Source organism: Homo sapiens, chromosome 7 (assembly GCF_000001405.40).
Source record: "Homo sapiens chromosome 7, GRCh38.p14 Primary Assembly".
Taxonomy (NCBI): domain Eukaryota; kingdom Metazoa; phylum Chordata; class Mammalia; order Primates; family Hominidae; genus Homo; species Homo sapiens.
In genome coordinates this window covers 134,125,905-134,151,154 of record NC_000007.14, presented here as the reverse complement: position 1 = coordinate 134,151,154, position 25,250 = coordinate 134,125,905, and the positions used below count along the sequence as shown (strand labels likewise).

Genomic DNA, 25,250 nt, shown 5'->3' with positions numbered 1-25,250 from the left:
CCAGAAAAGCTTGTAAAACTTCACCACCTGTATCATGCACAATATGATATGCTTAAACAGAACAGGAGAGAAAGAAGTATATTTCATGCTGTTTCAAAACTAGCCTACTATCTTTTCAAAACTGCAAGAGATCTAAGAAGTTTATTTCATTAATAGTTGATGAATGATTGTTTTTGAATTTTTTAAAACACAGGTGAGAAATGGTGCCATGTTACACTCTAATTATATACCCATGTTCCAAACTTCTATTGGTTTTGATGTAATAATTACAGCTTTTTATACTTTAGTGATGACTCAATTGCTACATCTAATGTCAAGAAAAAAAAAACCCTAATTCCTTTTTTCATTATATCTGACATTTACAAAGTCATGATACTTTAGTTTTTACATGGAAAGCTAAATGTATATAGAAATTAAGACTCTCTTGATAGAAATGTTTTCAACTGTGTTTTGAGTCCAAAATACTGTGGAGTTGTTTTCCTTGGCAATTTCATGCCAAAACATAGAATGTTTTTCTGGGGGACAAGAGATCTCCATAACAAACTCCAGACTGCCATGGCATCATCAGCATTCAGGGAACCCTAATTGCTGAATTCTTTCTGGCTAGCAAGAGTTTAGGGGCTGCTGACTTCTAGACAAACCAGTGTTGTTTCTTTTTCTTTTTTTTTTTTTTTTGTTTGCTTGTTTTTGTTTTGAGACGAAGTCTCGCTCTGTCGCCAGGCTAGAATGCAGTGGTGCAATCTCGGCTCACTGCAACCTCCACCTCCCAGGTTCAAGCAATTCTCTTGCCTCAGCCTCCTGAGTAGCTGGGACTACAGGCACGTGCCATCAGGCCCAGCTAATTTTTTTTTTGTTTTTTTTTGTTTTTTTTGTTTTTTGAGACAGAGTCTCGGGCTCTGTAGCCCAGGCTGGAGTGCAGTGGCGCCATCTGGGCTCACTGAAAGCTCTGCCTCCCGGGTTCATGCCATTCTGCTGCCTCAGCCTCCCAAGTAGCTGGGACTACAGGTGCCCGCCACCACGCCTGGCTAATTTTTTGTATTTTTAGTAGAGACGGGGTTTCACCATGTTAGCCAGGATGTTCTCAATCTCTTGACCTCGTGATCTGCCCGCCTTGGCCTCCCAAAGTGCTGGGATCACAGGCATAAGCCACCACGCCCGGCCTAGACCAACCAGTGTTTCTTAAGCTTTAATGTGCACTCAAATTGCTTTGGGGGGGTCTTATTAAAATGCAGATTCTGATTTCTTAGGTCTGCAATGGAGCCCAAGAATCTGCATTTCTATGAAGTTCCAGGTGATGCTGCTGCTGTGGTCTTCCTGTGTAGCACTCTACACAGCCTGAGATAAATGGATGTCTGAGCCAGATAGCTTCTGGACTGTCCAGCTATTTCTTTGCAAACTCAAAATACATGATAGTCAAGCATGAAGTGAAGGTTCTACAGAGATATGCTGCTAATGTGTATGCTTTTAGTTTGTCAACAAAACATGTTATATTGGTCACTTTCTGATTTCTCTGTTAGGCTATAATCAGGAAAACTTGCTCATTTAAGCACCATCTAAATGTCCACTAATTGCTCATTTTCACACACAAGTTCTAAAGGGAGTGGTGCTATGTTCCAAGCTTTCCATCATATATAAATAAAGGATTTTTTTCTTTTACAAGATACATCTTCAAGAAAACGTACCCTCTGTTGTCCCTCGTATCAGCCTTATCACAAATGCAGTGTGTACTAGCTGCTGTCACATCCCTGAATGAGGCACCCAAGGCAATCAATTCATTCTCCATTCTGTCTCCCAAAATCCTCAGGTGACTAGAAAGATACTTACTGAGAAAAAGAAGGTACTGGCTCCCCTGCTACCCAGAAAACATCAGTCTCTGGTGTGAAGAAGAGACTCAAGCTCATTAAACTCACAGATCTCCAATTAGCCCCTTAGGCTCTAGAAGTTGGAGCTCGCTGTCTTTAAAGGAGGTGCTCTGCTTGCATGGGAGCCTGGCTCATGAAATAGCTATGTTGCAAATCAAATCAAAAGTTGTTTTTTTTTTTTTTTAAAAAAAGAAAGCATATTTAAAATACACTAGAAAAGCTTACTATTTAAAAAGAACTTATCATGAACTCTTTTGCAAAATAAAGAATCACTAATTTTCCTTATGACCATATCTAGATTTTCAAATACTGAATTTATATAAAATAGGACACAAGTTTCAGCAAATTTGAAGAAAGGAGTTAATTTTTTTTTTTTTTGAGACAGAGTCTCACTCTGTTACCCAGGCTGGAGTGCAGTGGCACAATCTTGGCTCACTACAACCTCCACTTCCCTGGTTCAAGCAATTCTCGTGCCTCAGTCTGGGATTACAGGCACATCCCATCACATCTGGCTAATTTTTGTATTTTTAGTAGAGGCAGGGTTTCCGCCATGTTGGCCAGGCTGGTCTTGAACTCCGACCTCAGGTGATCCACCTGCCTTGGCCTCCCAAAGTGCTAGGATTACAGGTGTGAGCCAACGCACCCGACTGAGAAAGGAGTTAATTACAACAGAACTTCTTCTCTGGTTCTAGAATAAGAATAAGCCTACATTTATCGGAAAAATGACTATCTTACTTGGCTTTTCAAGGGTAAGATACTCTTGACAAGCTTTGACTCACAGTTTCATTTCTTGGTAAATAAAATATTTATCCTCATTTTGTGAATACCAATTCCTAGTCCTTTAAATAAGTCACGTCTCTATTAAATTGCTTATCTGGTACTAGTCCATGTAATCTAATACAATTCTTGAATATGTAGTCTTTAATTTTTATATTGTTTTTAAAATTTTCCCCTTTACTTATTCAAAGGATACCATCCAAAATTAGTTTAGTGAGAGCATGATACGCTGACAAATCACAAATTTCAGAAATTTGGTTGTGGGAAAAATCCGCCTTCTGGCAAGAGAAAGAGAACAAGATGTTATATTAATATTTCATTTTTCATGTTTGCCACAATAATTAACTGTGCAAGAAGAAGGTATTTTTGAATGTAGAGTTAGAATTCATTACTGAAAGTACACACTAAGGCTAAAAGAATCATCTGTCTTTAATCTTTTTTTTTTTTTTTTTTTGAAAAGGAGTCTTGCTCTGTCGTCCAGGCTGGAGTGCAGTGGTGTGATCTCAGCTCACTGCAACCTCCACCTCCCGGATTCAAATGATTCTCCTGCCTCAGCCTCCCCAGTAGCTGGGATTATAGGTGCCCACCACCGCAACTGGCTAATTTTTTTGTATTTTTAGTAGAGATGGGGTTCCACTGTGTTAGCCAGGATGGTCTCGATCTCCTGACCTCATGATCCACCCGCCTCAGCCTCCCAAAGTGCTGGGATTACAGGCATGAGCCACCACACCCGATCATTTAATCATTTTCTAACTGGGATCCTTTTCTGTCCACTTTGAGGGATAGTAAGAAGGCCTCTTCCCCATGGTGCACAGGAACCTCCCAATAACCTAAATGCTTTCAATTCCTGCAGCCACGCTCTCCACTTTTAGCATTTATTTTAAATTTCCTTGGTCTTCCTTCAGGATTTACCTCAATTTCATCCTTACCCACAACCATTTCATTTTCTCTACTGCCCAGTAACCTGTATTCACTTCATTTCTGTGCATATCTTGTTTCCTGTTCCTTTACCTTTCTATTCCTATTTCCATATATTGTCCCATGCTACTCTCTAAATGCCAGAATTTTTTTTTTTTTTTTTGAGGTGGAGTCTCGCTCTGTCGCTCAGGCTGAAGTGCTGTGGCATGATCTCAGCTCACTGCAACCTCTGCCTCACAGGTTCAAGCAATTCTCCTGCCTCAGCCTTCTGAGCAGCTGGGACTATAGACGTGTGCCACCACACCCGGGTTTTTTGTTGTTGTTGTTGTTGTTGTTTGTATTTTTAGTAGAGACAGGGTTTCACTGTGTTAGCCAGGATGGTCTCGATCTCCTGACCAACCTCCTGATCCACCCGTCTCGGCCTCCCAAAGTGTTGGGATTATAGGTGTGAGCCACTGCGCCCGGCCTAGTCTTACTTATTTATTTCCAGGCAATGCCTCTTCAACTTTACATTCTTTCTCAAAATTGACTACTGTAGGAAAGCTTTTTCAGCAACTTCTGTTGTTCCTAGTCAAACATGTAAGACTAAAAAACAATATTAAATAACTTTAATTATTCACCTGCTGACAAAAGATAAACAAAAAAAGTTTTTTTAAGGAAAGAAAAACTCAAGTTTTGGAACCACTGCATTCATAATTTGCTGGGTACATTATAATCATTTTCTGGAAAACCATCAAGCAATTACATAATAAGCACTATTCTAATTTTTCCATGCCCTTTAAAATAGTGATTTCACCCCCCAAATTTATGGAGATTATTTTAGCAACACATTAAATACTAAACCCTTTAAGTACTAAAAACTTTATACAGTAAATACTAAAAACTAATTTAGAAACAACTCCAATGGCAAGAGTAGAAAACTGATGAAGTCAATTGCAATACAGCAAGCAACAGGACTACTTAGTAAAATACAAGTTAGCAAACTATATGAAGAAATAGAAATGTACAAATAAAAGTGTTATTAAAAAAATCAGAACACCAAATGTATGCATATACAAATGGGAGCTATGGAAAATGCATACTATGAAATAAGTCAGTTTGGCATGATGTAAATGGAGTTTAACATTCACTTTTTTCTTCTATAGAATAATAATAAACTAGGAATAAGCTTATCATGATAGGGCTTACTTATTATTGACACTTTTTCATCAACATCTTTCATTCTGGTGCCATAGTATGACATCTGTATAACTACACCTCAGTCAGGGCAAACGCTAATACTATGCTCTCTATGTAGCTATGGTATTAGGTTTCTTTTTTTTTTTTAGATGGAGTCTCACTCTGTCGCCCAGGCTGGAGTGCAGTGGCTCAGTCTTGGCCCACTGCAACCTCTGCCTCCCAGTTCAAGCGATTCTCCTGCCTCAGCCTCCCAAGTAGCTGGGACTATAGGCTCCCACCATCATGCCAGGCTAAATTTTGTATTTCTAGTTGAGGCAGGGTTTCACCATGTTGACCATGGCTGGTCTTGAACCCCTGACCTCAAGTGATCCACCCGTGTCAGCCTCCCAAAGTGCTGGGATTACAGGCCTCAGCCACTGTGCCCAGCCAGGTTTCTTGAAAGACCTTAAAGGGGTTTGTGCCACTGTTTGGACTCCCATTGGAACCTAGAGCTTGGAAAAAGTAGCCATCAAGTCAAATTAACATTTTTCACCTAGTAAGAGCAAAAGCATTCTAATAAATACAAAAAGAGTGCACATACAAGTCCCCGCTCTAGGAAATGCATGTTCTCTCTGGTTGGTGGTACAAGGCTCATAGATATTAAATGAAAAGGAAGTGGAGCTTCTCAAGATGGCGGAGCATAGTACATGAGCCTGACTTACTGGAAAGATGTGGGCCATGGGGTCTCAGACAGTGGGTTCAATCCCAGTTCCGCTGCCTCCCAGCAAAGGTGAAGTTAGTTACCTAACCTTTCATGCTTCAGTATCAGGACAATATCAGGACAGCCCCACAGCTTTACTGGGAGGATTAAATAATACATTGAAAACACCTGAGGCCAGGCGCAGCAGCTCACACCTGTAATCCCAGCACTTTGGGAGGCCAAGGCGGGCAGATCAGCTGAGATCAGGAGTTTCAGACCAGCCTGGTCAACATGGTGAAACCCCGTCTCTACTAAAAGTACAAAATTAGCCAGGTGTAGTGGCTTATGCCTATAATCCCAGCTACTCGGGAGGCTGAGGCAGGAGAATTGCTTGAACCTGGGAGGCAGAGGTTGCGGTGAGCCGAGATCTTGCTATTGCACTCCAGCCTGGGCAACAAGCATGAGACTCCATCTTAAAAAAAAAGAAAAGAAAAGAAAAGAAAACATACACCAGGAGGCCACCATCATTCCTTCCCAGGTCTACACAGAGCTCACAGTGGCTTGCAGCACCTCAGGGTACAGCTTGGCACTTGGTACACACTTCTCTAAAATGACCAATATATTTGCTTGTAATTCTCCAGGAGCTCAGAACCTTAAAGATGGGGTCCATGATCTGTTTTTGTTCATTTGTAGGGTCTTTCTGGGAGAGTGCAAGGAAGGGGTGTGAAAGGGAGAAACTCCAAAGTTTTTCCTGGGGTAGGGGTCATGCTGTTACCATGAATGACTGCCCTGTGGCTTCAGACAAGGCGAATGGAACAGCAAAAGGTGAATCAAAACAGCTTTGCAAATTCAATTCCTGATAACCTCAAGACGATGCGGCCCCACACTGAGTACAGATAGGCACCTAGTGCGGCTTATTTGCACAAAGGAATGTCATCCTGGCAAAAACTATAATTTCAAAGGGAAAAAATGCACTATTGATAAGGGAATGATATAAAACTGAAGAAAAATTGAAAATTAAGGTCTCTCATCAGTATAAGGGAATGTCTGTTTCTTGATTTCAAACAGATTTTCATATTTGTGCAACTCTCCATAGAATATTTTGGATTTAAGTTAATTTGGTTTGTAAATAAAATAAAACTAATAGATAATAAAAGGCAATAGTTGATGTCCATTCCTTAAAATGACTTTTTAATTAAATATTTGAGTCCAATACAACAACACTAATCACAAAACCCAGGGTGATCGTTTCCAGATTTGTCAGCACATTAGAGCCACCTGATGGTCTCTTTAAAAGTCCAGGCCAGGCGTGGTGGCTTACACCTGTAATCCTAGCACTTTGGGAGGCTGAGGCAGGTGGATCATTTGAGTCCAGGAGTTCAAGACCAGCCTGGGCTACATGGTGAAACCCCGCCTCTACAAAAAATACCAAAAAAGTTAGCCAGGTGTTTTGGCACGTGCCTGTAGTCCCAGCTACTCAGGCTGAGGTGAGAGGACCACTTGAGCCCAGGAGTCGGAGGTTGCGGTGAGAGTGAGACAAGATTGCGCCACTGCACTCCAGCCTGGGCGACAGGATCACTTGAGCCCAGGAGGCTGAAGTTGTGGTGAGACAAGAATGCGCAACTGCACTCCAACTTGTCTCTGAAAATAAGAAGCCCAAAGCCCACACCTTACCTTGGACCACTTAAATCAGAATCTCTTGCAGTGGGATTTGGGTATCAGTAGGTCTGAAAACTCCCTCAGGTGATTCCAATGTGCAGAAGAGTGTGGGAACCACTTCTCTCTGACCTTGCTACTTAAGTATGACCGATGGACCAGTGGCATGACATCATCAGGAAGGTTTTTAGCAATCACAGGCTCAGGCCCCACCCCAGACCTAATGGGTCAGAATTCCCTTTTCACAAGAACCACAGGTGATTTGGGCATGCATTTAAGCAACAGACTCACTGCTCTAGGGCATAGCAAACTATTCCATCCACCACTGTCCACAGGTAGTTTATTTCTGCTTCAGAAATGCAAAAGCAAGTGCGGAGAAGCAAGAATGGAGATCTGAAAGCATTATTTTCTTAAAAAGTAAAGTTAGATAAATAAAAGGGCAAAGTTTGAGCCTAGGACATTTTTACAGATTATTCAGATATAAAATTTTTCAGATAAGTTATTCCGCTATATGTCCCATAACATCATGCTGTACATCTGAAATATACACAATAAAATGCATTTCTTTAAATAAATAAAATGTACCAAGTAATATTTTTAAAAAATTGTTCCACTATAACAACAAAAAAAGGGCAATAATAACTACTATTCAAATGAGGGAAAGAGGAGACCAGAGGAAAGTTCGTTGGTTTGAACACTAGGTTTGAACAAAGCTTCCAGAAAGCCTATCCACTGACAGACCAGCTCCCTTTTCCAAAATAAAGTATACACAAAGCCTTCTTTTTTATTTCATTTCAGACACTTACATTGCTTACCTCTGTATCTTATTCTCTCTGAATTCTCTATTTGAGTGCTATTTTGCTTATTTAATGCACTTTTGCAAACCCCTTAATGTGTAATTAAGGTATTCATAAAGTCTACCTTGAGGTTTTTGGGTGGCTTGAAATTGAAGAACGTAGTCAAATTATTTTGAGAAGCATTAAGTTCTAGGAGATAAGGCATACAACTCACACAAGATAAATCTACGGAGGGAAACAGATACAGAATAAGGTAAGCCAATAAAATAACAAGACAAAGGCATTAAAAACAGTGTACATGACATCAGAATATTTTAAAATTATAACAGTTGCAAAGACATCTTAATTATTCCATATGAGTGAAAGGAATAAAATCAGGAGTATGTGAAATATACAAAAAAAAGGTAGAAAACTCTCGGAGTCAATAATTTAATCCTCTTCCCCAGGGGTGGCCAATCCTTGTATGCCCTATTTTGGGGGCAGCCAAGTAACCAATCCCTGCGGCCTCTTCCGCATGCCCGCTCACTCTGCCACTAACAATGAAATGCTACAAAACTTGCCAGCATTTGAGAAAAGGATGAAAAGCAAAAGCCTTAGATAATCCTCTTGATAATTAGCCCCTAAATAACTAAATTAGATCTTTTCATAAAGAGTGGAAATGCCACAATTAGGAAACTCTCTTTGTTGTAAATTAAATTTTGTTTCAGTTGGACTTACCACTAGATCGCATTAACTATTTGAAGTGATTTAACTCATTGCTGTTATTTGATTTTTGACTCCAGATTGGATCAAACGTACATCCGAGTTTTGCATTTTATCCCAAGCACACACTTTGAATCTTGAACACTAAGTAAAGAACTACTGTGCTAATAAAGGATAGTGCTAATGAAATTACATATAAAAGATAAAAGATATGAACTATTGTTTTACCTTTCTCTATGACTTTACAGCAGACACAGAGGTAGGGGAATGAATTAGGGAAGGAATCAGGAAGGGTCACACAGTAAGGGTTATGGCCCTGTCTCTACTAGTAAGTCCTTTCTCTGCCTAAAAATGGCAACAATGCTAGCATTTCCCTCTCTCTCCTCGTTCTAGATTCTAGATCATAGTATGCGCTATTACAACCTCCTGGGGATGGCCTCTAGTGGGAGAATGGAGCCTCCTCACCCGAAGCCAAGCGAAGTGCTTCTACCTTTCTCCAAGTGGCACAGACACATGCAGACCTGGGGAAGGAAGCCAGCCTGGAGTAGTTGGGGCCCTGCCCTGAGGTGGGTAGGACATGCTATGTAAGGGGCCTCCTGGTATCTTCCCTTCTCAATAGTCACTGAAGCCAGAAAATTCCCCCCAATTTCTATGTTATTTTTCTGGACGAAACCATGCCCTTCCTTACTAAATGTAAATAGTTCCAGGAGAGACAGTACTTTGAGACATTAACACTTTGTTGGAAATGAATCAGCAAATCAAGGAAGAACTCTTCGAGGAAACCTAAGGAGAAACTGTAATTGCTTTCCAAGTGGTATCGATTTGTCCATGCTGAGCTCAGCTACATGTCTGTCAGCAGTGGTCTCAACTCTACTAACTTCACGGGACCACCAGACTCTCCTGAAAGATGATCTTTCTGTGGGCAGGTAAATGGAGATCCTTCTTGAAGCAGAAGCAGCAGCTAGTACTTAGCTAGAGACAAAGAGATGGTGAGTGCATTTCACACACTGTAGATAGCCAGTGTTTTCATATCAAGACAGAAAAAAGTCCTTGGTCTGGGTTGCTGGACATTGAACTTGAGCTGGCCTGTGGTCCCTATCAGTGCAGTGACCTCCTTGCCCACCAGAGGGCAGGAGCTCCTCGTGTCTCCATCACTGGTTTTCGGCATGTGGTCCCGGACCAGCAGCATCAGCCTCATCCAGGAGCTTATTCGAAATGCAAATTTCCAGGCCCCGCCCCAAACCTACCGAATCAGAAACCCTGAGAGTGGGGCCCAGAAATCTGTGTTATCAGGGCTTCCAGGTGATTCGGATGCAGTCTGAAGTTTGGCCTGCACCAGGAGACCAGTGAGACTGTCATCACAAAAAGAAACATATGCGGTACTTTACACACAGGAGGCTTTCAAACAGTTGACGAACTAATGAAATGTGCCATCCAAGGTTAGTGAGGACTGATCGGGCTGAAGAGAAAGGCTTGGAGCGTAACTGTGGGCTCCCTGCTCCTGTTGTCAGCAGTGAGCATTGGCAAGGCCCCCACCACTCCGCGATTTCCTACCCAGCAAATGGAAACAACCGCGGAGGTATGGAGTAGGCCAAGTGCTCCTGCCAGAGACACTAGAAAAGGCCTTCTGATGAGATGACCATCTAAGATTTGCTTTAAAATAACCCTGGGGAAGCTGGGCAGGGAGGTATATAGATGGGCTGATCACTGTTGAACCCAAATATTCATTCCAATATTCTATTTGTGCTTTGTAATTTTCCATAATAAAGCTTTAGAAAACTAGAAAAAAGTTAATTGAAAGTCTTTCAAAAACAGTAGTATTTTAAGAATGAAAATGGGCTAGAATATTTCTTAATCGTTAAAAAGTGGACTTTATTAGGGTCCTAGAAGGGGAAAAAAACCCCAGAATCAAACAGAGAAGACATATCAGCAACATTTATTTGTCATAAAAAAGGCAGGCAAAAGAAGCAAGCAGAAAGATTATCAGTGAAGAAAGCAGGTCAGAAGTAATGATTTGCTCACTTCCCTAGAAATCTAAAGAAAAACATTATACACTGTCAACTTCAAATAAGATCAGAAAATTATAAACAAGGATCAAGCTTTGAAGAAAATTTGACAATGGTAGGACTAATTTCATTAAATGTGAACAAGGTGTCATAACAAATACCTTATATAAAACTACAAATTGTGGAGTTAGAGTTGAAAGAATCAACTAAATAAAGACAGCAAAAAAGAATGAAAAATATGTATTTGTGAATCCCTGGTGCTCAATAATAAGGGTAAAAGAGCTAACAGATTTAAAATGCAAAATGTAGGCCCGGGCACAGTGGCTCACACCTGTAATCCCAGCACTTTGGGAGGCTGATGCGGGCAGATCACTTGAAGTCAGGAGTTCCAGACCATCCTGGCCAACATGACGAAACCCTATCTCTACTAGAAATACAAAAAATTAGCCAGTCGTGGTGGTGCGTGCCTGTAGTCCCAGCTACTCCAGAGGCTGAGGCAGGATAATCACTTGAACCCAGGAGGCGGAGGTTGCAGTGAGTTGTGATCATGCCACTGCACTCCAGCCTGGGCAACAGAGTGAGACTCCATCTCAAAAAAAATGTTTTTTTAATTTTAAAAATAAGATTTTCAAAATGCAGAATAAAGAGTGTAATAAAATATAAATGCAAAAGCAAAATAAAGAAAAGAATCTGTTAAAGAAAAAAAAGACTAATTCATCTGCACTGAGTAACAGAGGAAAAGAAAAGAAATCATTAAATATTCAGGGAGTATTGAAGAAGTAATGATCGATCTCTTAAAAGGAAAAAATAAAGCCAACATTCCATCTCCTAGTCTTAAATATCATTGACTGCATCTCAGCCACATCATCATATTGCAGATCTGTGCCTTTTTCTCTCTCAGCAGTTATCGGTGCCTTTTTTACATGGAAAGCAAAGGATCAATATGTAAATTGATACACAAATTAGTGATATCAAGTCTGGCATTATTAAACCATATTACATACTGCAACGTTTAAGTTTTCAGATAATTCAGTGATCAATCTAGAATGACAATTACATACCTTCAATTTTATTCGCTGAAAGATCCAACTTCTGTAGATGAACATATCCACAGAGAATGCTAACATCAATTAAATTACAACCCTGAGAAAACAAAAGGTAAAAGACTTTAATGTTGCTTTATCAGGTTACTACTCAGCCTTCTTGCAATAACTCTTGATGGAAAGAAATCCAGAATTTCTTTCACAAGTATAGAAGAAGAGAGAGAACAAAATCTGAAGCCTGCTACTAATAGGATCTCAAAACAGATGCCATAAAAAAAAAGCCCTTCCTTTGAAGAAAATAATAGCTTAATAACGTTAGTGTTGTTAGCAAAAACAAATACAACATGAAAGGCCAATTTAAAGCAGTGTTCATGGAGACCGTTAGAACAGAGTCTTTTTTTTCTTTTAATAAATCACACAATAGCAATAAAGACAAGGCCTTTACCTAGTAGAAGAAAAAAATGTCTAGAATTTAAATGAAGTTTTAAAGAGAATTCACACCTCATCAGGAAATCATTAATAACAATACTACCTACACTTTCACCTTTTCATTTTCAAAGCTCTTTCACAATAATCTCATCTGATCAAACACACCTGTGAAATCTGTAGGGCAGCTTATTCCCAATTTAGAGATGAGGGATGTGAGGTACAGAGAGGTAGGTTAACAGCCTGAAATCACACAGCAAGTTAGTTATAGAGAAGCAGTATCTAAGTCTCTTGAATCCTTGTCCAAAATTCTTTCCAGGATATCTTGATTCTAGTCAACTTCAGATGAGGTTGAGGGGAATTTGGTTGAGTGGAACAAAGACTTCTATGATTGTTTTATGTCGTGATGGCGGAGTCAGAAAACAAGCAAACCAATGAAGAGTCATTATAAGCACGTTCTCATATAGAATAATGGTGATTGTTTAATGAAGGCCGCTAGAACAGTAATAATAAATAAACACTTACTGAATATTTACTATTTACAAGGCATTGTGCTTGGCATGATGAGAAATGCAATGATGGAAGAGAGCTATATTGTGCCCTTAAGAAACTTATGACTTTGGTAGGAGAGAAGATATGTACACAAATAATAAGAGAAAGTAAAAAAAATAACATGTAACATAAGTAAGACATAAAGGAAAAAAAAATCACCAAACTAGGCAACTCTAAGAAAGTGTATTCAGTAAGACAGGTTATTAAGTCAAAGTAATTCAACGTGTAATATCTCAAATGTAAGGAGGTCAGTGGCAAAATAAATTAAGCTTCAGTCCATCCAGCTGAAATAAGATTTAAAGGATTGCTTTTTGGGGTAGATCAATTTAAGGCATAGCACTACCTACAGAAGTAGAATATTGATTGAAAGGGGCTTGTGTGGGGATGCACTGGCTGCTGGAATTATATACCATATTCCAGCGTCAAACACAGTGCAATGCATACAGGGTGCTCCCTGTATGTTATTGCCTGACTGGCTGAGTCATCCATAAAATGTTACAAAGTGAAAATAGAAAAAGATTACTGTTTTAATATGCTGACCTTGAAGGACATGCCCATGGAACTAGCAAAGGTGAAAAAAGTTTAACATTTCTTGCTTAGCTTACTCATTCAAATCCAAGATAGAACAGGCTTATAGTGAATTACATACCCTTTCGCCAAATCATGGTGCCATGGTAAAATTTCAATGTGCGTTTTTTTTTTCTCATATGTACCTAAATTTACTCTGTGGATCTCCAATGAATATTTAATGCTTTACAATATAAGGAGGCACAACGACTTAAATTGTTTTTCTAGGACTACAGAGAGACAAAATGAGGAAAGAAGCAAGTATTCCCAGTAGTTTGCTCTTACAGCCTCTCTTTTGATAAAATTGAAGCCAAGGTTTTGTGCTACTCTATGATGAGTACTGAAATCTTAAAAACTGATGAATAATAATAGATTTTTTTTTTCTTTAATGATAGGTATCTTTTGGAAAGTAAGGTATAGCTCAAAGCCTCTTATTTCTTGACATACTTAGTGGGGAAAGTCAATATCAAAATACTTTGTTCCCTTGGATTCAGATATAAAGTTTAGTGTTTCTTCCACTGATCAGAGAGAAAATTCTTAAAGAGTCTTTGATTGGTTTTACAGAATCAAATTCAACCTCCTGGAAAGAAAGCATTGATTACTATAATATAGACTACTTAAGATGAAAGAAATAGAGTGTGAAGAGAATGAAAACTAAGAAATTTGGGGGGCTGATTACTGAATTGGTCAGGGCTCTTTGAAGTCTAATATTTACAGAAATATCTCTTGTCACCAGTCTCCATCAAATGCGAGGCTCCAAGATTTGCTGTCACCACAAAAGCTAAGAGTACTGAAGAAAATGAATATGGTCTAGCCAGTGTCAAGCTGTAGCCAGCCAATGGAGATTTTGTCATACTCACTGATAAAGTTAGATTGAGGTAGACTTGCTCAGTCCCAGAGCCTGAGCGCCCCAAGTGATGGAGTGCTTTGGCCACAGCCTCCTCTCTCAGGACCCCATCAAATTCCTCCTGTAAAAAACCCAGAAAGGTAGACAAAGAAAAGATTCTCATTAGAAAAGAAACAATCTATCTTGTCATATCCAGCACTTATTTAGTATATTTTATACCCAGGAGCTGAGCTCTCCAAAATTTACCAACCCCCAAAAAAATTCTGTGTTGATAACATATACATATTACATATAATTAAATAACTATCTGCCAAATCAATGTTTTCATTGCCACTGTTTTTTTCAGGTGGTCACTTGCATTAGGCATTCAAAGTTGAGTGAACATTGTAGCAGTAGAAGCAGCAGTATCAGTGGTGGTATTGATTGAGGGGTTCTCTATTCCAGACACTGTACTAACAGCTCTCAATGAATGAACTCATTGAATCCTTTGGACAACATGGAGATAGTTACTCTTATCTCCACTTTACAGGCAAAAGAATTAACGTTTGGAGGTTAACTTGCCTGAAACCAAACAGATAGTATGTGACAGAGCTGGAATGAAAATCCCAATCTGTCCAGTCCCAGGGCAATTCTCCCAAACTGCCCTAACCACTGCATTTGACTGCTTGCCCACACCCCAAAGGATGGTTACATCAAATTAAGGCAATTATCTCTCTAAATCTGGTATTCTTGCCAGATTGGTAGAGAAAACAGGTCCTTCAGTTCACTTCCTATTAGTCAATGTTGCTAGATTTATAAAATGTATAAGATTTTTAAAAAGGTGATGATCATTTCCATAAGGAGGTTGGCCCTTGGTCTATAGACATCACAAGAACCAAGGGCACCCTGACAAGCCCTTCCTCCAACAATGACAGACAAAAGAGATAACAGGTGGGTCAGTATTATGTTTGTGCTGCCTTCAACTCCATAATGACCAGCACATTAACACTGACATCAACATGAGAACACAAAACATAAGTGATCACATCAGTCACACCGACATAACTAGCCATGACTAGCATATAGATAACCATGGCAAAATACCCTTTTTCTAAGTCCTCTATATGAATTCAGGAACCAACAATGCAGCTCTGGCTGTAGGTACTGATGACATACGCATGTAGGCTTGTGCTATGATAAAGAGCTTCTTGCCGGGCGCGGTGGCTCACGCCTGTAATCCCAGCACTTTGGGAGGCCAAGGTGGGCGGTTCGCAAGGTCAGGAGATCGAGACCATCCTGGCTAACACGGTGAAACCCCGTCTCTACTAAAAATACAAAAAAATTAGCCGGATGTGGTGGCGGGCGCCTGGAGTCCCAGCTACTCAGGAGGCTGAGGCAGGAGAATGGCGTGAACCCAGGAGGCAGAGCTTGCAGTGAGCCAAGATTGTGCCACCACACTCCAGCCTGGTTCAGGGAAGTAAATACCACCTGCATGGAGGCAGCACATGGCTTCAGAATTGGGCAGGCATGGCTTGAACCCCAGCCCTGCCATTTTGGATGTGTGACTTTGGGGAGGTAAAGTTTTCACTGAGCCTGGTAGTTTTCAGCTATAAATAGGAAATGTTATCACCTTTGAAGAAGTTCAGGACATGTCGCTGTAAAATATGCCATGTTGGTATATTGATTATTTTGAGCTGAAGGCACTTGAAAAACAGCAAACACAGGGAAAGGCTCTTTCTGAACTCCCTTTATCTGCCTCAAGGCAGATCCTCCAAAAGAAACTCAGTTGTCCTAAATTTGCCCCCCTCCGGTGGTTTCATCAAACAAGGAAGAATGACTTTTACCCACCCAGGGGAGGAGACCAGAAGTCAATGTCACACTAAGACAGACTTTGTCACAAACTCTCATACCCCGCATCTGTTTTTCTAAGGGACTATTCATTCCCTAAAAAGCATTTACTTTCCCCTAAGTGGCCTGCATCCCTCCTCCCCTTCCTCTATTGAGATGGTACATAACATCTCAAATCTCACTGCTTTTTTGATTATTCACTTCTGTTTTTTCCTGCAATGTCCCCCACAAATATTACAAATTTATTCAAAATTAATACATGTATAATACCTTTTCTCCTGTTAATCCACCTGTTGTCTGTTTATTTTATAGACCCAGCTATAAAAGCTAGGAGAGTAGAGGGAAAGTCATTCCTTCCCAACACCTTCTTTTAATATTTTGGAGAAAGAAAAAAAAATGGACATAAAACTCACAGCACAGTATGTGCAACGTAGTGTTCCCAATAGATGACGATTTCTGTTACTACTAATTGATGAAGTCAGAAATTCCACATCGTAATGTTTCACTCACCTATGCCAATCAGGCTGTTCACAAAATAGGCAAAACACATTTACTTTTCTAAATAAAGTTCTAATTTATTATACAAGGCCTGGGAAGGAATGTTACCTTCCCTCCAAACTTTCCACCTAGCCCTTTAAAGTTCATCTGGCCCCCTCCATTTCCTGGAACTATGAAGACACTGCATCCTCACTTACTCACTTAGAGCAGGTGGATGCTTATTTTTCAACTTAGCCATTGACATGGAGATGAGCCACGCTGTCCCCATTTTTCCTTGGGGAAGGCAGCACTCTGCACAATAACCTCCTCACACCTCCTGATGTTCCTGACATTTGGCAGTATCATGTCTCTCCTTCCGATCTTTGGTCATTTTCAAGCTCCTGTTGTTATCCTGAGTGGCCTCAGAATCCCTATGGGTGGCCATCCAACACCCTATTGCCAGCACATGCACACATGCACAATTCTTTACTGCCGCAGCTCCAGACAGCTTACTTTCACGGCCATGCCCTGGACCTAGTCATCATGCTAAACTGCTCCACCCTGGAAACCTCAGACCCCAGTGTTTCTCTCTAATCCCACAATTGCTTATCCTTCAACCTACCTAGCACCTGTTGAACTTGTTCACTGACCACAACAAATCTCCAGTCTGTTCACAGATAGACACCTTTCTCAGAGTCTATCTGTTCCCTTCTGACTATACTCCCTTCCCTACTGGGTAGCCTATGGGCAATTTCTTTTTTTCTTTTTCTTTTTTTTTTAGGCATGGTCTCGCTCTGTCACCTGGGCTGAAATGTAGTGTTGTGATCTCAGTTCACTGAAGCCTCAACCTCCCGGGCTCAAGTCATCCTCCCACCTCAGCCTCCAAAATAGCTGGGTCTACAGGCATGTGCCACCATGCCTGGCTAATTTTTATAATTTTTTTATAGAGGCAGGGTTTCACCATGTTGCCCAGGCTGATCTCAAACTCCTGGGCTCAAGTGATCCGCCCACTTCCGCCTCCCAAAGTGCTGGGACTACAGGCATGAGCCACCGCACCTGGACCCATACGCAATTTCAATTTCTCTCTATCTTCAAGTCTCTGATCCTTGTTCCCTGGTTGCAACTACCCCATCCATATACAAATCAGAATCAAGTTCATAATCAACTGCTGCATTGAGGCAGGACTGTGTCATGTTCCTCATTCATCAGGGGGAAAAAAATCTCTATAGAATACCTAGCACATGCCAGCCACTGTGCTTGGCTCAATGGATAAGACATGGTGAATCAGTGAACAGATATGGTGCCTGTCCATAAGGGATTTACAGTTCAGTCTGGGAGACAGACAAGTACGCAAGCAAATTTTGGATTTGATAAAGATTATAATAGAGATAGGCAGTGTCTGCTGACTATGAGCAGGGCCCCCATTGTATGTCAGTACCAGGGTGGAGTAAGAAGTTAGCAAAATCTTCCTAGGAGAGACAGCAATTCAATTGAGACCCAAATTGTGAGTTACTCTGGCAAAAGGGAAGATAAGGCTGAAAAGCAAGCCAAGAAATAGTATTACAGGCAAAAGGGGCAGCATGTACAAAATCCCAAAAGCAAAAGCAAGCATGGCCCATTGAGAGAACGATGAAGGTTCAGGATGGCTGAAGCCTAAGTGTGAAGGAGGCAAACAGTGCCTCGCATGTGGTGAGTGCTCAAACATGGGTTGAATGAATGAATGCACCTCATCTGCCCCCTAGCTGCTGAGTGGGCTAGAGAAGACCCCACAACTCTGCATCCTGGAGTCCCTGTAAAGCTGACTTTCAGCTGGGCCTCTTTGCTATGAACGGTCTCCCGTTCTTCATCAGCCCCTTTTCAACTCCCCTTCTTGACTAGCCCATCTCTCCATAACTCTCAAGCTGTGCAGTGCCTCAACTCCTTTGCCGTCTTCTCCACTAATGCCCTTCTCTTCTACTTCTGAGGCAAAACGGAAGCTCTCAGATGTTAACCCTCTCAGCTTCCTAGGAGCACCTGTCCTAATGTTTCTCACTCAGGTCTTAGAGGAAGACTGTGCCTTCTCTCTACTCAGGGTCCCACACCCTTCTCTTTCCTCAGGGACCATTTTTGCCCCCTTTTGTCTGTGTTTTGAACCCACCATTCTCTGTGGTTCCCACTCCAGCTATACAAGTGTGTTAGACTCTTCTGTCCTACAGAGGCTTTCTTCAGTCCTGCAGGTTCCTTTAGCTATAAACTAGAGTTTCCTTTAATAACCAATCTACTCTAGAGTTGTTTGCTTTTTATGCCTTAGTTCTCCTTTCCTCGCCTCCCAACTACTCTTCAACTTCACTTAGCCTCCTGACTTCACCACCTCATAAAAACCACGTGGGCCAATGTCTCCAATGACTCTCAAACAGGCAAAATGAATGAGCACTTTTTAGGCCTCTTCCCACTTAACCTATTTGTAGCGTAACCCATTCCCATCTTCTTTTTTTTTTATTTTTTTGAGACAAGGTCTTTCTCTGTCACTCAGGCTGGAATGCAGTGGCATGATCATAGCTCACTGCAGCCTTGAACTCCTGGACTCGAGTGATCCTTTTGCCTCAGCCTCACAAGTAGCTGGGACTACAGGTGCATACCACTATGGCTGGTCGGCTAATTTTTTAAAAATTCTTTTATAGAGACAGGGTCTTATTATGTTACCTAGACTGGTCTCAAACTCTGGCCTCAAGCCATCTTCCTGTCTCTGGCTCCCAAAGTGTCAGGATTTCAGGCGTGAGCCACTGCACCCTGTCATCACGTTCTTGAGACTCTTGGCTTCCCTATCATATAGGTCTTCTTTCTCCTTATACTTCTCTTACCAGTCCTTCCCAGTTTTCTTCCCTGCTTCTTCATCTGCCTACCACTTAAATACCCTTGGTATCTGTACCTTTATGGGTCTATTCGTGGCCTTTTCCCTCCCATCCCTTCCTGGATGATTTCCCAGAATCTAGTGGTGATGATTCCCATGTCTCCTACTCTGAGATCTCTCCCCTGATTTCCAGTCATATTGTTCATATATCCAACTCCTTAACGCATAGCTCCATCTGTCCCTGATTCCTATGATAGATAACAGCTCTTCTCACTCCCCCTGGATTTTGCTAGAATCTTCTCACTGATCTCCTTGCCTCCAGTATTACAATCCTCCAATCTAATACCACCTGGCCAACAGAGCAGTTCCCCACTGTGTAGAGAACAAAGTCCATATTCCTACAACATCACAGTGCCCTCTACAATCTCATCCCTACCTAGGAGGCTTCTTCTGTTCTCACCTGTAACTCATCGGTAGGAAAAGCTGCCACCTGCCTGCCCACACACCACCTCTCCACCCAGGCAAGAGTCTCCTTCCCCTGAAGTCTTCCATGTCCCTGCAATCCAGCTGTCAGCTGTACTCATCTCTGTAAGACATACTACAGGTATGCTGAATTGCTATGATTTACTCGCATTCTTATCTCACTTTGAGAGCAGGGACCATGTATGTCTTCAATCATGTTCTCATCTTTTTCTACCATTACTGTTATTATTTATTGCAGCTATAATTTTTTGAAAGTCTATTCTGTATCAGACACTATAGTAAGAACTTTAAATATAGAGTTTCTTATTAAATTTCATGTTCATAACTATCACAGGAGTAGGTATTATTACCCATATAAAGGGACTGAAAAGAAGTGTTTTTCATGCATCAATTTTTGGGCCCAGAAACTTCTGCTCTGTACAGTCAACGAGTGCTTTCTGCATAGCAATCATTCAGTAAATGCTTGTTCAATGAAGGCTAAATTAATCAAATCACTTAATGGGCTGTAGTTAGCAGACGAAAACATGTAAGTTACTATTTGTATTATTAACTGTATCAAAATATATGATAAGCATTTAACATATAGGATCTCATTTAATTCTCACAATTCTTTAAGTATTATTATAATTCCCACATGAAGAATGAGAGAGGTTAAGTAATTTGCTCAACATCTCACAACTGACAAAAGGCTAAATCAAGCCTCAAACACAAATCTTTGATTCCAACAGCAGTGTTTTGAACAGGTGGTCCATACTGCCTCCCTCACTTCATAAGGGCTTCCGAGGTTTAAGGCAAATTGCATTAAAGGCACTCAGTAATCATTGTGACCATGATAGCATTGCAAAGGTGCTAAACTGGGAATAATAAACTGAGAATAACAGGCTAAGATGGGAATAATAAATCACTGAACATGAATTTCCAAATGTTTCTTTTTAAAACTTTGTTTCAGTTTATTTAGCATATTAATATGTGTGCAATACTAAAAAGCCAAAATAGAATAAAAACACAAAATTAATATTTAGAATGTAAATGGAAGAAATAATGAACCTGTTCCACATGTGTCTTACAAGCCAAAAAGGAATAGCTAGTTCTTGACAACCCCTTCTATGGTTTGTTAATGGCATACTGAAGACAGATTAACAATGGTGCTAATGAACCCCATAGCCAAAGAGCTATGTGTTAATTAGAATAACAAAGTACACTGGTGGTTCATTTGTGAATTCCTCTGGGGGGGGGGGGAAGCTGGTGGAAACCATACAAACATCTCAAAGTTGCAAAAACACTGCTATAGTTTTGCAACAGTCACTGTTAAAGATAGCAAAGTAAACCAACAAAAGACAAAAGAAGTAATAACGAATAGAATAATTAATAGCTTTCTATGGTCAACTTTAAGCAAAACTAATGGGAACTAGCTCATGTAGAAGGAAGTAAAAAAAGAGGAAAGACAAAATGGGGTATGAGGAAGGGAAAAAAGAAACAGGCCAAATGTTGAAAGTGAACAGAAGGACATTACAAAGGAAGGGGAACCCAAGTGGTTAATAGAAGAATCAGAGTAACAGAAGACACCGCAGGTTAGAGAAGGGAGAATAAGAAGAAATAAGACAAATGAGGAAAGGAGTTGGTGAAAGGGAACAGGCATAACACAGAAATATGTTTGGCCTCAAAGAGAAAAGGTGACTGTGAATAGATGCAAAGATGTAAAGAGGGGAAACCAGAAGAATATCACAGAATGAGAGCACTGAAAATATCCTAGGCTGGGCACAGTGGCTCATGCCTGTAACACCAGCACTTAGGGAGGTTGAGGTGGCCTGATTTCTTGAGCCCAGGAGATCAAGACCAGCCTAGGCAATATGGCAAGGCCCCCGTCTCTTACAAAAATTACAAGAACTAGCCAGGTGCTTTGGTGTACACCTGTAGTCCCTGCTACTCAGGAGGCTGAGGCAGGAGGATTACTTGAGACTAGGAGGTCGAGACTGCAGTGAGTCATGACTGTACCACTGTATTCCAGTCTGGGTGACAGAGTAAGACCCTGTGAAAGAAAGAGAAGAGGAGAGAAGAGGAGAGGAGGGGAGGGGAGGGACGGAAGGGAGGGGAGGGGAGGGAGGGGTGGGGAGGGGAGGGAGGGAAGGGGAGGGGAGGGGAGGAAAGGGGGGAAGGAAGGCAGGAAGGAGAGAGTAGAGGGGAGGGAGGAAGGGAGGGAGGGAAGAAAGAAAGAAGGAAAGAAAGAAAGAGAGACAGAGTGGAGGGAGGGAGGAAGGGAGGGAGGGAGAGAGAGAGGGAGGGAGGGAAAGGAAGGAAGGGAGAGAGGGGGAGGCAGGAAGGAAGGGAGGGAGGAAGGAAGGAAGGAAGAAAAAACGAAAGAAAGAAAGAAAGAGGAAGGAAGGGAGGGAGGGAGGGAAAGAGGGAGGGAGGGGAAGGCAGGAAGGAAGGGAGGAAGGAAGGAAGGAGAAAGAAAGAAAGAGAAAGAAAGAAAAAAGAAAAGAAAATATTCTACTTCTCTATATTATATTTACTTCTGAAAAGAATTTCACGCAATTTATACTGCCAAGGAAAAGGAAAGGGGAGAAAAAACCTAAAGAAAACTTTGAAATTAAGAAAAACTATTGAATCTAAGTTTCCTGGCAGCCAAGACAAAGAGAAGAACCTAACAGTGTATTGAAAGAAAGGAAGCAAATTAGGCCGGGTGCGGTGGCTCACGCCTGTAATCCCAGCACTCTGGGAGGCAGAGGTGGGCGGATGGCGAGGTCAGGAGATCGAAGACCATCCTGACTAACACGGTGAAACCTCGTCTCTACTAAAAATATAAAAAATTAGCTGGGCATGGTGGCACACACCTGTAGTCCCAGCTACTCGGGAGGCTGATGCAGGACAATCGCTTGAACCCAGGAGGTGGAGCTTGCAATGAGCGGAGACCGCACCACTGCACTCCCGCCTGGTGACAAAGCCAGACTCCATCTCAAAAACATAAACAAAATAGAAAGGAAGCAAATTAAATTACGCTTTTGAAAGAAAGCAATTTATTAGAAGCCAAGAGAAAAGAAGTGATGTGATGAGAAGTGGAAAAGGACAAGAAGACAACAATGGACTAAGAAAGGAAAAGGACCATAATAAGCATAAGAAAGAAGAGGAATTGTGTGGTGGTCAGAAGAGATATTGTAGAAAGGAGGGAATGGCAGTCATGTGAAACGCGAAGCCGCCATCCCAGTCAATATGGGTGGGATGATGGGAACATTCCCCACATCCTAAAATATTCCCACAATGAGCTGGCTGTTCGAACATTATAAGGCTCTTTTCTGGTGTGTGTGCATGTTGCTTGTATAAGGCATATGCCCCCGACAGAAGTAATGTATTCAACTTTTAAGTCACTTAGTCTTTGAAGAAGCACTTTCAAAAGCGGATTTTTTTTTTTTTTTTTTTCCTGGAGGGAGGCTGACGGGACTAGAACTGAGGAAGAGTGTGGAAGTATGTCATAGCCATGGGCAACAGGTGCTGGCAATGTCAGAGATGAACTCTGCCTATTCACAATACTGTCAAAGTATAATTTTGAAAAAGCTAAAGCCATAATTCCCAGACAATTATCTAGACACTCTTACAAAGTGACGCTGTGTTAACTCGACTCATAAGAAATCAAATGTGTTAATGAAAAAAGAAAGGAACTATTTAGAGCTATTTCAGGCAGGGGGTGAGAAAACGGGGTAAAAGACAGGGGAAGAAAAGAGGGGGAAGAGGCGTTCCTGGAGGCGAGAGAGCCTGAGAAGGTGTGGGAAGCTTCGGGCTGGTGGGGGTGCATCGGGGAGCTGCCGCTGAAGTAACAGGGCTGGACGAGGGAGCCAGGGAGTACGGGGTGGGGGGGAAGACACACCTCCAAATTCAGCATTTCGGACTCTGAGGACTCCTCGGATCCCGCCTCGCCCTCGCCCTGGTCCTCATCTCCGTCCGAGTCCAGCTCCTGATAGCGGTGCATGAGCTGCTGGAGCAGGTAGGAGGAGGCTATGTTAGAGCTGCCTTTCGTCTTCTGCCCCATGGGAAAAGACCAGCAAGGCTGACGCTCTTTTTCTGCGCGAAACTGTAACGATCGGGCTCCAGTTCGGGATCTGCCCAAGCCTCTCAGGAGAGAGGCAGCTCTGGTCCTCAGGAGAGCCCTCTCGGAGGTCGCCATCTTGTTTAGCGGGGTTGCCTAGGAGACTGACCCCAGGCAAGGGGAACCGCGGAGGATTCTGGGGCCTGTAGTCTCCTCCGCGCGTACTCGCCTTCTGCAGGCGGGGCAGTGGGCGCTCCACTTGACTTTTCTTTTTCTCAGTCTCTTCTGTTATTTTTCTCTCTTTGGTCTGTTCTGTTCGCTTATCTTTCCTGTTTTCACCTCTTTTCGCTACACCCCCTTTCTTTGTCTCCAGCTGTTTCCTCCCTACCCTGAGACCCCTCTTAGAGCTTTGTCATCCCACGATAGGATCGCAGGTGCGCCACCGTTGCCGCTTCATTCCCAAAGGGCTCTTTCCGCAGAGTCGTACTTTAGAAGTGTCTAATGTCTCTAAAGCAGTCTGTAGGAAAGCTAGTACCACTGAAATTTATGCAAAGCGCGACGCTAGGAGATGAGGGTGCATATAAGTGAAATAGAAGGCATGGTTCCTGTCCTTATGATTTAATTGCAGATAATAAAGAGAAACTACCAGACGACGCCTGAGAGCTGATTTCCAATTAATTTACATTCCCCACCCCCACCCCCCAATGATAAGCCTTGTCCTTGGGGAGAAAAACTGGCAGTGGTCTTACAATCCAAACAGAGAGAGAAAAAACTGCTGTCAAATTGACACTGTATCTGAAAGCGTCTGAAAAGCTATTAGCATCCCATAAATAATTATATTAGTCAAGTGACCTGCATTGGCAATTATTTTAATCTTGTTGCACAGGCTCTCTTTGCAGTTAAAAAAAATACTCTTTCAAGATAACAAAGCACGATTTTATGCTAGTGTGATTTTATGTGACCCAAATCCCATAGCCTTAAGCTCCACAACGTCGACACTCTATAGAAAAGCAGAATGAAAATTATAGTAACTATTATTGCCATAGTGATGACAATAGAGATCCTTGCAGGGAAGTAGCCCTCATCCTTCTGGCCTTACAGGGCCTTTTCTGCACGCTTCAATGACAGCAGTTGCAAATACAAAATGATCCTGTCAATGGCTGTCAGGGGAGAAGGAGAAAAAATCCTTATGGACACCATCCATTGACGATTATCTTTCTCAGTGCTTGAGGGACCGTTAAAACTGACATAAAGCTTTCAGAATTACCTTCCTTCATTATCTTGCTAGTCATAAATGTAAAGGCCACAAGCAAAATATCTCTTTCTGCCAGGCTCATCTTGCTTTTTGCTTATTTCTTTTTCCAATAAGTAGAGATTCCTCCAAGGGAATTTTCCCCACCCTTACCCTCGTAGGGCCTGGCTTCGGCTAAGTGACATAGGGAAGAATCAGGCAGAAAGTGTAAAAATGCAAATCTCGATCGTTTTTCTTTTTTTTTTTTTTTTTTTTGAGACGGAGTCTCGCTCTGTCGCCCAGGCTGGAGTGCAGTGGCGCGATCTCGGCTCACTGCAAGCTCCGCCTCCCGGGTTCACGCCATTCTCCT

The 25,250-nt window shown here is 41.7% G+C and overlaps 1 protein-coding gene across 12 annotated transcripts in view, besides 4 other annotated features; it reads right to left on the bottom strand.

The window, feature by feature from the left end:
• Window positions 1-23,815, bottom strand: part of LRGUK (leucine rich repeats and guanylate kinase domain containing) — a 149,346-nt gene extending 125,531 nt beyond the window's left edge. For 9 of the 12 annotated variants that reach the window (XR_002956408.2, NR_174939.1, XM_024446659.2 and 6 more), the window contains exons 1-5: window positions 23,491-23,815; window positions 14,025-14,132; window positions 11,638-11,719; window positions 7,993-8,093; window positions 2,836-2,917 (exon numbers count right to left, since the gene is read on the bottom strand). Coding sequence is in view for 10 of the 12 variants with exons in the window: in XM_024446659.2 (XP_024302427.1) it covers window positions 2,836-2,917; window positions 7,993-8,093; window positions 11,638-11,719; window positions 14,025-14,132; window positions 23,491-23,787 (670 nt within the window). In the remaining 2 variants the exon portion in view is untranslated. The remainder of the gene's footprint in view (window positions 1-2,835; window positions 2,918-7,992; window positions 8,094-11,637; window positions 11,720-14,024; window positions 14,133-23,490) is intronic. The other 3 variants (XM_047419890.1, XM_024446658.2, XM_047419889.1) reach the window with 1 other exon arrangement.
• Window positions 9,742-9,811: a silencer, noted in NCBI's record as "silent region_18670". NCBI's record gives its function as "represses an Ori minimal core promoter by ATAC-STARR-seq in GM12878 lymphoblastoid cells {active_cell/tissue: GM12878}" and the evidence as "EXISTENCE:reporter gene assay evidence [ECO:0000049][PMID:35858748]".
• Window positions 20,503-21,237: an enhancer, noted in NCBI's record as "OCT4-NANOG-H3K27ac hESC enhancer chr7:133814671-133815405 (GRCh37/hg19 assembly coordinates)". NCBI's record gives its function as "activates a minimal SCP1, AML or CMV promoter by ChIP-STARR-seq in naive H9 embryonic stem cells {active_cell/tissue: H9 hESC(naive)}" and the evidence as "EXISTENCE:reporter gene assay evidence [ECO:0000049][PMID:30033119]".
• Window positions 23,533-23,802: an enhancer, noted in NCBI's record as "active region_26688". NCBI's record gives its function as "activates an Ori minimal core promoter by ATAC-STARR-seq in GM12878 lymphoblastoid cells {active_cell/tissue: GM12878}" and the evidence as "EXISTENCE:reporter gene assay evidence [ECO:0000049][PMID:35858748]".
• Window positions 23,913-23,962: an enhancer, noted in NCBI's record as "active region_26687". NCBI's record gives its function as "activates an Ori minimal core promoter by ATAC-STARR-seq in GM12878 lymphoblastoid cells {active_cell/tissue: GM12878}" and the evidence as "EXISTENCE:reporter gene assay evidence [ECO:0000049][PMID:35858748]".